The sequence below is a fragment of the Homo sapiens genome, chromosome 1 (genome assembly GCF_000001405.40).
Source record: "Homo sapiens chromosome 1, GRCh38.p14 Primary Assembly".
Lineage (NCBI taxonomy): Eukaryota > Metazoa > Chordata > Mammalia > Primates > Hominidae > Homo > Homo sapiens.
In genome coordinates, this window is record NC_000001.11 from 9020654 (window position 1) to 9034162 (window position 13509).

Sequence of the window (13509 nt, forward strand, 5' to 3'; positions counted from 1 at the left end):
TGGTGCATCCTGATATTCTCTCTTTTTTTTTTTTTTGAGATGGAGTCTTGCTCTGTCGCCCAGGCTAGAGTGCAATGGTGGGATCTTGGCTCACTGAAACCTCCGTGATATGGTTTGGCTGTGTCCTCACCCAAATCTCATCTTAAATTCCCACATGTGTGGGAGGGACCTGGTGGCAGGTCTTCCCAGTGCTGTTCTCGTGATAGTGAATAAGTCTCACCAGGTCTGATGGTTTTATAAGGAAGAGTATTTCTGCACAAGCTCTCTCTTTGCCTGCTGCCATTCATGGAAGATGTAACTTGCCCCTCCTTTGCCTTCCGCCATGATTGTGAGGCTTTCCCAGCCACGTGGAACTGTGAGTCCATTAAACCTCTTTCTTTTGTAAATTGCCTAGTCTCGGGTATGTCTTTATCAGCAGCGTGAAAATGGACTAATACACTCCGCCTCCCGGGTTCAAGCAATTCTCTTGCCTCAGCTTCCCAAGTAGCTGGGATTACAGGCATGCGCCACCATGCCCAGCTAATTTTTGTATTTTTAGTAGAGATGGAGTTTCACCATGTTGGCCTGGCTGGTCTCGAACTCTTAGCCTGAAGTGATTGGCTCACCTCAGCCTCCCAAAGTGCTGGGATTACTGGCGCGAGCCCCCGTGCCCAGCCTGGTATTCATTTTTTATTTCTTCTCTCTCCACCTCCAGGTGGAGGTGCTCCCTCCTCACACCCCTACAGGTCTGGGGGTGATGAAGCTGTCAGCAGCCCCAGGACTACCTTTGTGATTGTCTCACACTTTGCACACATCTTTGAGGACCGCTGGGACCCTGAGTGAGTGCACTCAGTGAGGAAGCCAGGAAGGCGAGGTTCTGGTGCCAAGAGCAGGGAGTGGGTGGTGAGGACTCTATGAAGATATCCCAGGTCGGCAACACTGAGGACTGGCCAGGGAGTCCACAGACAAGCAGGCTGGTGTTCTCAGGCCACTTTTCTCTCCCTGGGGCTGCCACAGCCTTCAGGAGCAGCCACCAGAGCACATCCCCCATCACGGGGAGGGTCAGCCAGCCAGGAGGCCCAAAAAGACTAAGCAGCCCCGACACGTTCCCACCCTTCTCTGGACTCCCAGCCCTTCCTGATGACTATAAGGGGAGGCTGGGGCTGTCAGGACCCCACTGGGCAAGGCTGGCACCACCACATTCCTGGACTCAGGCTCTTCATCTGGAAAATGGGTTCAGACAAGGAAGTGGAGGCCAAGACTGGGCTTCCAGAACAGTCCAAACACTCTTGGTCTGGCTGAGAACATCACAGTCTGGATGACCAAAAAAAAAAGCTTGAATTATGGTATAGTTACATTAGAGTGAATTGTTTCTTCTTTCCAGCGCATAATGTATGGCAAATTAATTGTCGATCAAGTATATGCAAGAAGAGGTCCTATGAATCTTGCATTAATTAATAGATAATTAATTTTCAATCAGCGCTATTTTTTTCTATGCCTGAAAATGGAATTGCTCTGGTTTTTTGAGTGACTTTTCACTAGAGGGCCTTCCAGTCACTCCTGCAAGCTGTCTAACCTGGCACACCATGCCCAAGTGTAACTGTGAGTCCGAATGAGTGGGCTGACCTAAGGGAATGCCACCAGGCCTCATCCTGAGCCCAGGCTCACGCTTTGCCCTCCTGGGAACCTTGGCCTGTGCATCTTTCCTTATCTGTGGAGTCACGTCTTTGGAGCACCTGGGCTTAGGAAGAATGATTAGTGAATCTGTGTAAGCCAAGCAAAGTTCAAAGACCTGCCCAGTCTTCATTTCCAAATAATCTCGTATCTATGAGACAGTGGCCGGCAGCGTGACTCAGCCTGACCCCAGCCTCAGTAACAAACTCTGGCAAAGACACGCGGGGAGAGGCTGCAGCGCTTAGAACTTGGAGCCATGGTCACCTGACCCCGGAATGAAACCTGATAAACGAGCATTTACTGAACACCCACTGGAAGTGCTTACAAGGCACTAAGCTAAGCACCGTCAAGAACCTTGATCTCAAAGGCTGCACCACCTCTGTGGCAGGTGACGGAAGGGAATGCTTTTCCCATGCAACTACCTAGGAAAGAAATCCCAGAGACATTTAGGGACTGGTTTAAGGTCATGATGACTGTGGCCAAGCGGAGACTAGACTTCAGATCTCCTGATTTTCAGGGTCACACGTCTCCCCACCAGGTGCACAAATGCCCAGAGACAGTGTGGCTTACTAGCATGAATTTTAAGTGGGAGCAGTGCACCTTCTGTTTACCTGCCGCAGCTATCAACCAGCAGGCCCACGAGCAATGACCCCAACAGGCCGCCCAGAGGAAACATGGAGACGGTGCAAGACCATAGAAGCAGCATGAGCTTCCCGTCCATGAATGTTGCGTGTCGCTCAAAGTAGGTTTCGTTGTAAAATGACTTGAAGACCTGGAAAACATTGCCCCATCCACAGCTAAGAATATTGGGCAGTTCATGAGAAATGAGAAAGTGTTCTCAGTGGCCACTTGTCATTGTACAGAGAGGTTTTTCTGCTAACACCTATAAGACACAGTTAAACCCACTGATTCCCTACTATTACCTGAGAATCAAAAAATCTACTATATGATGGGTTGAAATGAGAAACTAGGCTGAACAAAAAGATTGTTACAAAATCACTGTTAAAAAATTTACTTTTGGCCGGACGCAGTGGCTCACGCCCGTAATCCCGGCACTTTGGGAGGTTGAGGCGGGCAGATCATGAAGTCAGGAGATCGAGACCACCCTGGCTAACACAGTGAAACCCTGTTTCTACTAAAAATACAAAAAATTAGCTGGGCGTGGTGGCGGGCGCCTGTAGTCCCAGCTACTCAGGAGGCTGAGGCAGGAGAATGGCGTGAACCTGGGAGGTGGAGCTTGCAGTGAGCCGAGATTGCGGCACTGCACTCCAGCCTGGGCAACAGAGCGAGACTCCGTCTCAAAAAAAAAAAATTTACTTTTGGCTGGGAATGGCTCACACCTGTAATCCTGGCACTTTGGGAGGCCGAGGCGGGAGGATTGCTTGAGGCCAAGGGTTCAAGAGCAACCTGGCCAACATAGGGAGACCCTGTCTCTATTAAAAAAGAAGAGAAAAGAAAAGAAAAAAAAAATTTTACTTTTGAGAGACTTACGACTTACTCTGCCAGAGGCACCATAGGAAATATTCTTCTTCTTTTTTTTTTTTTTTTTTTTTTTTTTTTTTTTTTTGAGATGAAGTCTCACTCTGTCACCCAGGCTGGAGTGCAGTGGCATGATCTTGGCTCACTGCAACCTCTGATTCCCGGGTTCAAGTGATTCTCCTGTCTCAGCCTCCCGAGTAGCTGGAATTACAGATACCCGCCACCATGCCTGGCTAATTTTTGGATTTTTAGTAGAGATGAGGTTTCACCATGTTGGCCAGGCTGGTCTTGAACTCCTGATTTCAGGTGATCAGGTGATCCACCCACCTCAGCCTCCCAAAGTGCTGGGATTGCAGGCGTGAGCCACCGCTCCCAGCCCAGGAAATATTTTTACTAATTGTGTGACTTCAGGCAAGTTACAGAACCTCCAGAAACCTTAATTTCCTCATCAGTTATGGAAACAAGATGTACCTTATAAAGAATGTGTTAGCATTAAATGTGATTAAGTGATGGTACATTGCTTGACTCGGAGGTTCCATCCATGGTAATAATTGTAAGTACACTAATATATGTATATATACGTAATACACAAACAAATGTAATACAGTGTCTGTAGACATGCTAATATATGTATACAAGCGTAAGCATAGACGTATACCAAGGTCAAGCCTGTAGTCAGTTCTCAGTCCTCATCTGAGCTCATCAGCACAGGCTGTCCCTCCCTCCTTGACTCTCATCCTTTACTAGGTTTTGGGGACATTCTGCCCTCAGGGTCTTCCACACCTGCAAGGGCCCCTTCTCTTTTTCCTTTTTTCCCCTTTGCCCCAATCCCTAAATGCCACAGAGTTCAATCTTTGACCCCATTCTCTTTCCAATCAACAAGGGGCCTACCCAAGGTGAGAGCAGTGGGACCTGAGGCCCAAAAAGACTGGGCTGGAAAATGGAACAGGTCCCCCAGCATCCCAATGTGCCCGGAAAGGACGACACTCCAGGGGGAAACACCTCCTGCCACGCCCTGGTCTCCAGGGGTGAGCATCCAGGGTACTAGGGCAAGCTGGCTGCTCCCAAAGGCAAGATGGTGCCTCCTACAGGCAAGATGGCAGCCTCCACGGAGGAAGATGGCGGCTACCTTCCACCCACGACCCCGGTCAGCTGCTGCCCGGCCCACCTTGTGCCCACCTTGTGCCCACCTTGTGCGGCGTGTTGACCACAGAGAGGTTGTAGCCGTACTGGAAGGCTGAGCCAAAGGCCGCGCTCAGTGTCGCCAGCAACAGCGTCGGCTGGAGCCGCTGTAGGAGACAAGTCCAAGGTCGGGACGCTGTGGGCTTGGGCCTCGGGAAGTGGAGTGGCTGGGCCTCCACCTCCCTCCAGCCTGGGCTGGAAGTGGGGGATGGGGGATCCCAGGCCGTGCCCCCGGAAAAGAGGAGGAGGTGGCGCAGGGCTGGGGCTTTTGGGGGCTGAGGTCTCTGCACGCATTCATTCCCTCCTTGAGGATGTATCTGAGCATCTGCTACGTGCCTGGCCCTGTACTAGGCCCTGGAGGCCAAGTGTGAAGTAGGGGATGCTTTAGGAAAAAGGCCCAGCAAAGCACTGCCTTTAAGAAGCTCACTTTCTAGTGAGGGGAGCCCACCCCGTCCAAGAAAGACAAAGATGATAATTCCAAATAGCTAGAATGCTGTGAGGACAATAAAATAGGGTGATGGGTGGGGTAGCAGCCTGTGAGGAATGAGAGACTGTGTTCAGTAGGGTGGGCAGGGCAGGGAAGGCCTCTCTGAGCAGGCGCCCTTTGAGCCGGGACCAGAATGGATGAGAGGGAGCAGCTGTGTAAGCATCGGGGGGAAGAGCATCCCAGACAGAGGGACTCATTGCTTGCCTCTGCCTCTAGAACAGGCCCTTAGGAAAATCCCGGCAGTCGCCTGTGCTCAGGGCCAGGCTTTCCATGGTTGCCACAACACCCAGGGCAGCTTGGAGGGGAACTGGCCTGAGGGCCAAAGTCTGAGGAGCAGGTGGGCAGGGTCTCTGACCATGTCCTAGAGCCAAGGCCCTGGTGCATGCCCCCTCCCCACTGCCCCCTCCACCCCTCACTCCTGTTCCACATGTCCTCACCCCAACCCTCACACTTAGCTGCCTGGCTGCCCACAGCCCGTAGCTCTGCACATCCAGGAACAACCAGACAGAAGGGCAGGATTCGGGCATTCTTCAGAGGCCATCTCCCCTCGATCTTTAAGGGTAGGGGAAGCGGAGGGGAGCAGGGGTGGAAGGGAGAGAGGCATCTCCAGCACCATCCGCTCTCCCAGCATTCGCTCAGCCACCCTGGCCCATGTCTGAGCCATGAGGTTTGAGCATAGCTGCTTCTCCACATGGCTCTCCCAGGCCTGGTTATCCTGAAGAAAAAGGAAGCACGCTACCCGCTCCTTGCTAAAAGCATTCCACGGCCTTCACCTCCCTCCACAGGTCTGCACAGCTGGTGGGAGAGGGACAGTGACAGGTTCCTAGTCTTGGCACTTACCCCCTCCCTGGATGGAATGGGTGGAGGGGTTCCCGCCTCTTTGTTCTCCATCCTTGTTCAGGTGGGAGAACAGGTGTGCTCTACCTCCCAAGTGACACCTGCTCTGCGCCAGCCACCTAAAGACCGGCTGTTTCTCCCCTGGGCCTACCTGGCTTTATGATCCTTTTGCTCTCTGGACCCTGCTGACTTTCCCCAGGAGCAAATTCTCCTTGGAAATGTTGATAAGACACACGTTGCCAGTGCACAAATCATACACAGCACGAATTTCGTCTTTGCACCCACCAAGCCCCAAGCCGAAAGCTCCCTAGTTGCACCAAGGAGAGAGAAAAAACATTGCCTGACATTGGTCCGCAGAAATGAGGACTTTCAGAGACCCAGTGAGGCTGTGACCTGGATCTAGGATGCTTTTTCTGTGTCATTTTTCCATGTATGCCTCTTTTTTTTTTGAGACAGGGTCTTCCTTTGTTGCCCAGGCTGGAGTGCAGTGGCGCAATCTCAGCTCACTGCAACCTCGGCTTCCTGGGCTCAAGCTATTCTCCTGCCTTAGCTTCCCAAGTAGCCGGGATTATAGGCACGTGCCGCCACACCCAGCTTTTTTTTTTTTTTTTTTTTTTTTTTGAGGTGGAGTCTCGCTTTGTCGCCCAGGCTGGAGTGCGGTGGCGCAATCTCAGCTCACTGCAAGCTCTGCCTCCCGGGTTCACGCCATTCTCCTGTCTCAGCCTCCTGAGTAGCTGGGACCACAGGTGCCTGCCACCATGCCTGGCTAATTTTTTTTTTGTATTTTTAGTAGAGACGGGGTTTCACCGTGTTAGCCAGGATGGCCTGGATCTCCTGACTTCATGATCTGCCCGCCTCGGCCTCCCAAAGTGCTGGGATTACAGGCGTGAGCCACCGTACCCAGCCTTTTTTTGTGTGTTTTTAGTAGAGATGAGGTTTCACCATGTTGGCCAGGCTGGTCTAGAACTCCTGACCTCTAGTGATCCGCCTGCCTTGGCCTCCCAAAGTGCTGGGCTTACAGGCATGAGCCACCGCACCTGGCTTTTTTTTTTTTTTTAACTTTTATTTTAGGTTCAGGGTATATGTGAAGGTTTGTTACATAGGTAAACTCGTGCCACGGGGGTTTGTTGTACAGATTATTTCATCACCCAGGTATTAAGCCCACTTCCCAGTGTTTGTTTGCTGCTCCTCTCCCTCCTCCCACCCTCCAGCCGGAAGTAGATCCCAGTGTTTGCTGTTCCTTTCTGTGTGTTCCTAGGTTCTTCATATATGCCTCCTCTTGTGCATTTGGACTAATTGTCCATTTGGGGGAAAGAACAAATTAAACACTTTCAGAAAAACACAGTTATTATTTCTAATTACACTAAATAGTGTTAAATAAGTCAATAAAATATTGGACAAAGGTGCTTATTTCAGAATCATTTCTACTAGCATTTTTTTTTTAAAGTAGAGAATGATTGAATAAATTAGGAGTAACTAATTGATTGGAATGCCAGACTTCTGTTTCAAAGGATAATTATGAAATGTGGGAACATGGAAACATTAACATGTTTTTTAATTAACATGACCTTTAAGAGAAGTGATCAAAGCAGAATACACATAGTATACCTGGGGAAGGCCAGGGTGCGGTGGTTCATGCCTATAAGCACAGCACAATGAGAGGCTGAGTGGGTGGAGGATTGCTTGAGCTCAGGAGTTCAAGACCAGCCAGGGCAACATGGTGAAACCTCATCTCTACCAAAAATACAAAAATCAGCTGGGCATGGTGGCATGCCCCCGTGGTCCCAGCTACTTGGGAGGCTGAGGTAGGAGGATCACTGGAAAACAGGAGGCTGAGGCTGCAGTGAGGCATGATCACACCACTGCACTCCAGCCTGGGTGATAGAGCGAGAACCTGTTTCAAAAAAAAAAAAAAAAAAAAAAAGGATACCTGGGGGAAAATGTGTTTGCCCATGGGTGGTAACAGGTGGGTAAATGACAAGACTGAGAGAATGAAAGGTCCTTATTTATGTTTATCCTGCTCCTGCTCCTGACTATGTTGTAGGTATTTTCTCTCTCTCTCTCTTTTTTTTTTTTTTTGAGACAAAGTGTTGCTGTGTTGCCCAGGCTGGAGTGCAGTGGCGTGGTCATGGCTGACTGTCGCTTCCGGCCTCCAGTGTTCAAGCAATCCTCATGCCTCGGCCTCCCAAGTAGCTGGGATTACAGGCGTGCCCCACCATGCCCAGCTAATTTTTGCATTTTTTTTGTTTTTTAGACAGAGTCTCACTCTATTGCCCAGGCTGGAGTGCAGTGGCCAGGAGGAGGAGGTGGCACAGGGCTAGGCGCTCTTGGGGGTGAGAGGCATGTGGTCTCATATGCCTTGGTTCACTGCAACCTCCGCCTCCTGGGTTCAAGTGTTCTGCCTCAGCCTCCTGAGTAGCTGGGACTACAGGCGTGTGCCACTATGCCTGGCTAACTTTCATATTTTTGGTAGAGAGGAGATTTTATAATATAGGCCAGGCTGGTCTCAAATTCCTGACCTCAGGTGATCCACCCTCCTCGGCTTCCCAAAATGCTGGGATTACAGGTGTGAGCCACCTTGCCTGACCATGTATTTTCAATAGAGATGGAGTTTCAGCATGTTGGCCAGGCTGGCGTTGAACTCCTGGCCTCAAATGATCTGTCCACTGCGGCTTCCCAAAGTACTGGTGTTAGAGGTGTGAGCCTCTGCACCCTGCCTGTTGTAGGTATTCTCTAAAGGGATAGGCATTTTCTCCACTCTGCTCCTCCCTCCTTTCTGAGTCCTCACCAGCAGGGTCATTAACATTCATATTTTTACTAACAGTCTGTTCAAGGTAATCTAGGCTTTTTATAGCATGCTTCTAAAAATTCTCCCAGCCTCTTCTCATTGTGCAATGCTAAAGCCATTTACATACTTTTAGCTATTTAGGTATTAACAGCAGCACTCCATTTCCCAATACCAAAATCTCTATATTAGTTTTCTATGGCTTTTGTAACAAATTACCAAAAACGTAGTGGCTTAAAACAACACATATTTATCATCTTAGGGGTCTACGTGTCATAAGTCTGACATGGGTCTCACTGGGCTAAAATAAAGGAATCTGCCATGTTACGACACAGCAGGAAGGTCCTCACCAGATGCAGCTCCTCAATCTTGGACTTCAGCCTCCAGAATCATGAGCCAAACACACTTCTGTTGCTTATAAATTGCCTACTCTGTGGTATTCTGTTATAGCAACACAAAATGAACTAAGACATCTGGTAAGAGCAGGGACCCTAGCCAAATTTTCACAGATGGCTCTGGTGACCCACTTGGAGTTCAAGGGTGCAAGGAGGGAAAAGGCATGCATGGTGTTTATCTTCCTGGCTACACTGTAAATTCCTAAAGACAGAAGATGCCATGTATGTATCACTTGCATGTCCCAGTGCTGTGCAGAATGTAGGATGACAAGAGCAGCCCCTCAAACAGCACTGTTAGGGCCAGGTGTGGTGGCTCATGCTGGTAATCCTAACACTTTGGGAGGCCGAGACTGGTGGATCACTTAAGTTCAGGAGCTCAAGACCAGCCTGTGCAACATGGTGAAACCCTGCCTCTACAAAAAATACAAAAATTAGCTGGGTATGGTGGCATGTGTCTGTAGTCCCAGCTACTAGGGAAGCTGAAGGGGGAGGATCACTTGAGCCTGAGTGGTGGAGTTTGCAGATTGCTGAGATAGTGCCGTTGCACTCTAGCCTGGGTGACGGAGTGAGACCCTGTCTTAAAAAAAAAAAAAAGCAAACACATGAAAAAGGGAGAAAAAAAGCACTCAATTCACTGCAGAGTAGTAGGAGGGGAAAGGAAATGTTCAGATGAGAGTGTCAGGATGCCAACTACCTGCTTTCTCATTCTTCCTGCAGGAACTAAAAAATAATCCTGGAGAAAGCAGATTGAAGGGGGCAAGACTCAGTCTAACTAACATTCCAGATTGGAACTTCAGCTCTCCTTTCTGAGCGCCCTTCTGTAATGGAAATGGCCAGTGCACCATGCACTGCCCTGCCCTTGTTCCTGATGTTTCTGTCCTGGTGGTTAAGCCACTAAGCAATACCAGGACACAGGGCAATGGAGTGAGATTTTCACAAAGAAAAATCTATTCAATTTAAAAGACTGAAATTTATTCTGTGATTACATCCTGTCTAGATAGTAAAATGCCCTTTATTTAAAACATTGTTTCCTCAATTTGGTGATGGGAGTTCATTTTTTAAAAATTATATATATATATATATGCAAATTAGAGACACAGTCTCACTTTGCTGCTCAGGCTGGTCTCAAATTCCTGGGCTCAAGCAATCCTGCTGGGATTACAGACATGAGCCACTGCACCTGGCCAGTTTTTAAAAAATGTTTTTATTTGCAAAATGGAAAGAGGCAGCCCGATGTTAGTCTACCAAATTTTGGTATGTGACATCTGGAAGTGTGAAAAACGCTGGTCAAACCTACCTTCCAACTGCCTAATTTGGCTTATGAACATGTCGCCTGGGGGCTGACAACTCCTCCCCAGATCCACTCTTTCTTACTCTGCTGTCAACCATTTAAAATCCTCTTTACCAAGACTCATTCATTCAAAAAGCACTGAATGAATTCCTACTCTGTGCCAGTCACTGTTCCAGGCATGGTGGACACAGTGGTGAGCAAACGGGTCTGAACCTTCTTCAGCTGAACCCTCTTCAGCTCCATCTCTCACCTGCCAAGTGTCCTGACCTTGATCCCATCACAGGGACTTAGCATTGTTATCTGATCTTTGAAGTGTTGATTTTCTGGCCAGAAACCTCTGTGGCCGGTGGCAGCCTTTGCCTGAGTTCTTGTCCCGCATCCAGGAAGAATGAGGTATGCAGACAAGTGGAGGGTGAACAAGATGAAGAGGAGCTTTATTGAGTGTTAGAACAGCTCAGAGGAGGCCCACAGTAGGTAGCTCCTCTCTGTAGGCAGATTGTCCCATCGAGTGTTCAGCTCTCAGTAGAGAGGAGGCCCTGGAGAGGGTAGCTCCTCTCTGCAGCTGGTCATCCTGTCGTCTTTCCATCCTCTGCCCTGTTCTGGCTGAGTCTGGGGCTTTTATGGACCTCAAAGGGGAGGAAGTACATGCCTATTGGTCCATGGGGGGCCATAGGTGGGCCCAGAAAAGGCATCACAAGTCCCCAGTCCAGTCTGGAGGACTGGCAGCCCAGCCGCCAGCCTTTAGGCCCTCCCTGGCCTGAAGGTGGGGTCTTACAGGGACCTGTCCACTTCTGCTCAGGAACCTGTCTGCCTCCCACAGCTGTCTGTGGCACCCGTGTTGCTTGCAGTAAGGGGCACCTGTAGGCCAGCACCGAGCCACCCTCAGCCCCCCTTAAGCTTCCCCTCTTACACTCATCTGTGCCCAAATTCCAGAGGGGGCCAAGGCAGCAGGGGGCTGGCATGTCAGCACTTCCCAGGGTGTATGCACACCCAGCTGAGCTGTGACAGTGCCCAGGCTCAGCCCCAACCCCTCTCCGAGACTGGAGTGGGTGCCAGGAGTGGAGAGAAGCCAGGCAGTGGGAGGAGACATCCCCAAGTCTGTGGGGACAGAGGGGAGGGGTGGGAAGGCCTTGCCGGGCCCCTGAAGGTGCAGACTGCAGAGACGCCTAGGGCCTGCATCTGGTGGGGGGCGCAGGTGGAGGCTGCAGCTGCACCTGGGGAGCTCCCACCCCCATGAACTCAGAAGGGGCGGGGCTCCTGCTTGTCCCTAGCTCCTGCTGGCTCTGGAGCATGCAGCCCTGGCAGTGCCACAGAGATCAAAGTGGGCGCTGACAGCAGGGAGAAGCCAGGCAGCAGAAGCAGGCACTTGCAAGCCTGTGAGGGCAGCGGGACCTTCCTGGGTCCCCAAGAGTGTGGGGATGCCTGAGTCTGTAGCCATGGTTTGGGCGGCTGCAGCTGCATTGGGAGGTGGGGTCGGTGGGGGCCTCCTGCCTCCTCCATGGAGCAGAAGGTTAGGGTCTATAGCTGCAGTTTGGGTGGCTGCAGTGGCACCCGGGGAGCTCCTGTTTGCTCCATGGAATGTGCAGCCTGGGCTGCACCTCCCTGCTGCAGCTGGTGTGATGGCAGCGGCAGCCGTCTGGAGTGGCTGCTGCCATCACCATCCCCTGACATTGTCTAATTCTCCCAAAGCGTCATTTCGCCTCAGCTTTCACCGATCTTTGCAGGCAGCTTGGCTCCCAGTGGTCTCCAAACTTTTAAAATCATGCCTCCCCATCAGTAAGAAAATGTTGCCTACAAACCTCTAATATATGTCTACTTATTTAAAAAAAATTTTTTTTTTGAGACAGAGTCTCACTCTGTTGCCCAGGCTGGAGTGCAGTGGCACACTCTCAGCTCACTGCAAGCTCCACCTCCCTGGTTCGTGCCATTCTCCTGCCTCAGCCTCCCGAGTAGCTGGGACTACAGGTGCCGCCACCATGCCCAGCTAATTCTTGTATTTTTAGTAGAGACGGGGTTTCACCTTGCTAGCCAGGATGGTCTCGATCTCCTGACCTTATGATCCACCCACCTCAGCCTCCCAAAGTGCTGGGATTACAGGCGTGAGCCACCACGCCCGGCCTATGTCTACTTATTTTTTATGTTATATATGTGTACGTGTTCTGTAAGTGACATAACACCCACTCAAGCAGGAATAGCAAAGGGAGGAAGGAAGAGTGAACAATAACTAGAGCTCCCATTCTTTCTTTTCTGCCTCAGTTGTAGTCTTCACCCTAGCAGTCTACCTTCTGCCCCCACACTACCCCTGACAGCACTCCCTGAGGTCACTGAGTCATTGAATCCAAGGGGAACTCTTTTTCTAGTCTCAGCAAATGGCAGAGCTTGGCAGCTCAGTCCTCTCTGCTGGCTTTCCTGTGCCCCTTGTTGGATGGTGCTCCATCTCCCACCTTAAAAAAAAAAGTTATTTATTTATTTATTTATTTATTAGAGACAAGGTCTTGCTCTGTTGCCCAGGCTGAAGTGCACTGGTGTGATCATGACTTCTAGGCACAAGCGATCCTCCTGCCTCAGACACCCGTGTTGCTGGGACTACAGGTGTGCATCACCACATTCAGTTAATTATTTTTATTTTTACTTTTTTTGTAGACATGGTGGGGGGTGGGGGTTTCTCACTGTGTTGCCCAGGCTGGTCTCGAACTCATGGCCTTAAGTAATCCTCCCACCTCAACCTCCCTAAGTGCTGAGATTCCAGGCATGAGCCAGCACACCCAGCCCACCTCTCACCTTTCATCCTCTCAGTTGGCAAACCTGGGGCAATCTTATGCAAATGCGAGGTTTTAACCTATTCTCGAATCTTTTGTAAGGATCTGATTTCCTTGCTGTCTCGTGGGCTCCTTCAGACTCTTCTCCAGAGCAGCTGGAATGATTTCTTAAATTGCAAATCAGATCAGGATACTCTCTGGCTCAAGTGAGCCAGTGGCCTTCCGACACATTCAGAATAGAATCTCTGATGCTCCTGGGGGCCAACTGAGTGTCTGCACAGTGCCCCCAGGCACCTAGTGCCCCCTTCCTCCTCCCCAACCCCCTTTCTGCCGCAGCATCACTTGCCTCCCATCGTTCCCTGAACCATGGCCAACCCTCTCCCACAAGACATTTGCATCTGCTGCCCCCCAGCCAGCCCCACTCCCCTCTCTGTTCAGCTGCTTCTCCACCTGTCACCCCTTGGGCTAATCTACTTTTCTTCACTGCAACTCTCACTCAGAACCCTGGCCCCAGGGCCTGGAGCCATGCCTGGCACACAGTAGGTGCTTACAGATATATGGTTTCCCCAAACTTATGTCCCTGCTCCCCTGAGTTCCAGAGCCACATGCCACCTTCCTTCTGGATATCTTCTGTGTGTCCC

General features: G+C 50.4%; 1 protein-coding gene across 3 annotated transcripts in view; it reads right to left on the bottom strand.

The window, feature by feature from the left end:
• Positions 1 to 5770, bottom strand: part of SLC2A7 (solute carrier family 2 member 7) — a 33890-nt gene extending 28120 nt beyond the window's left edge. For all 3 annotated transcript variants that reach the window (XM_011540824.3, NM_207420.3, XM_011540825.3), the window contains exons 1-3: positions 5642 to 5770; positions 4323 to 4421; positions 2265 to 2425 (exon numbers count right to left, since the gene is read on the bottom strand). In XM_011540824.3, coding sequence (XP_011539126.1) covers positions 2265 to 2425; positions 4323 to 4421; positions 5642 to 5692 — 311 coding nt within the window. In that variant the 5' untranslated portion in view covers positions 5693 to 5770. The remainder of the gene's footprint in view (positions 1 to 2264; positions 2426 to 4322; positions 4422 to 5641) is intronic.
• Between the last annotated feature and the right edge of the window lie 7739 nt (positions 5771 to 13509).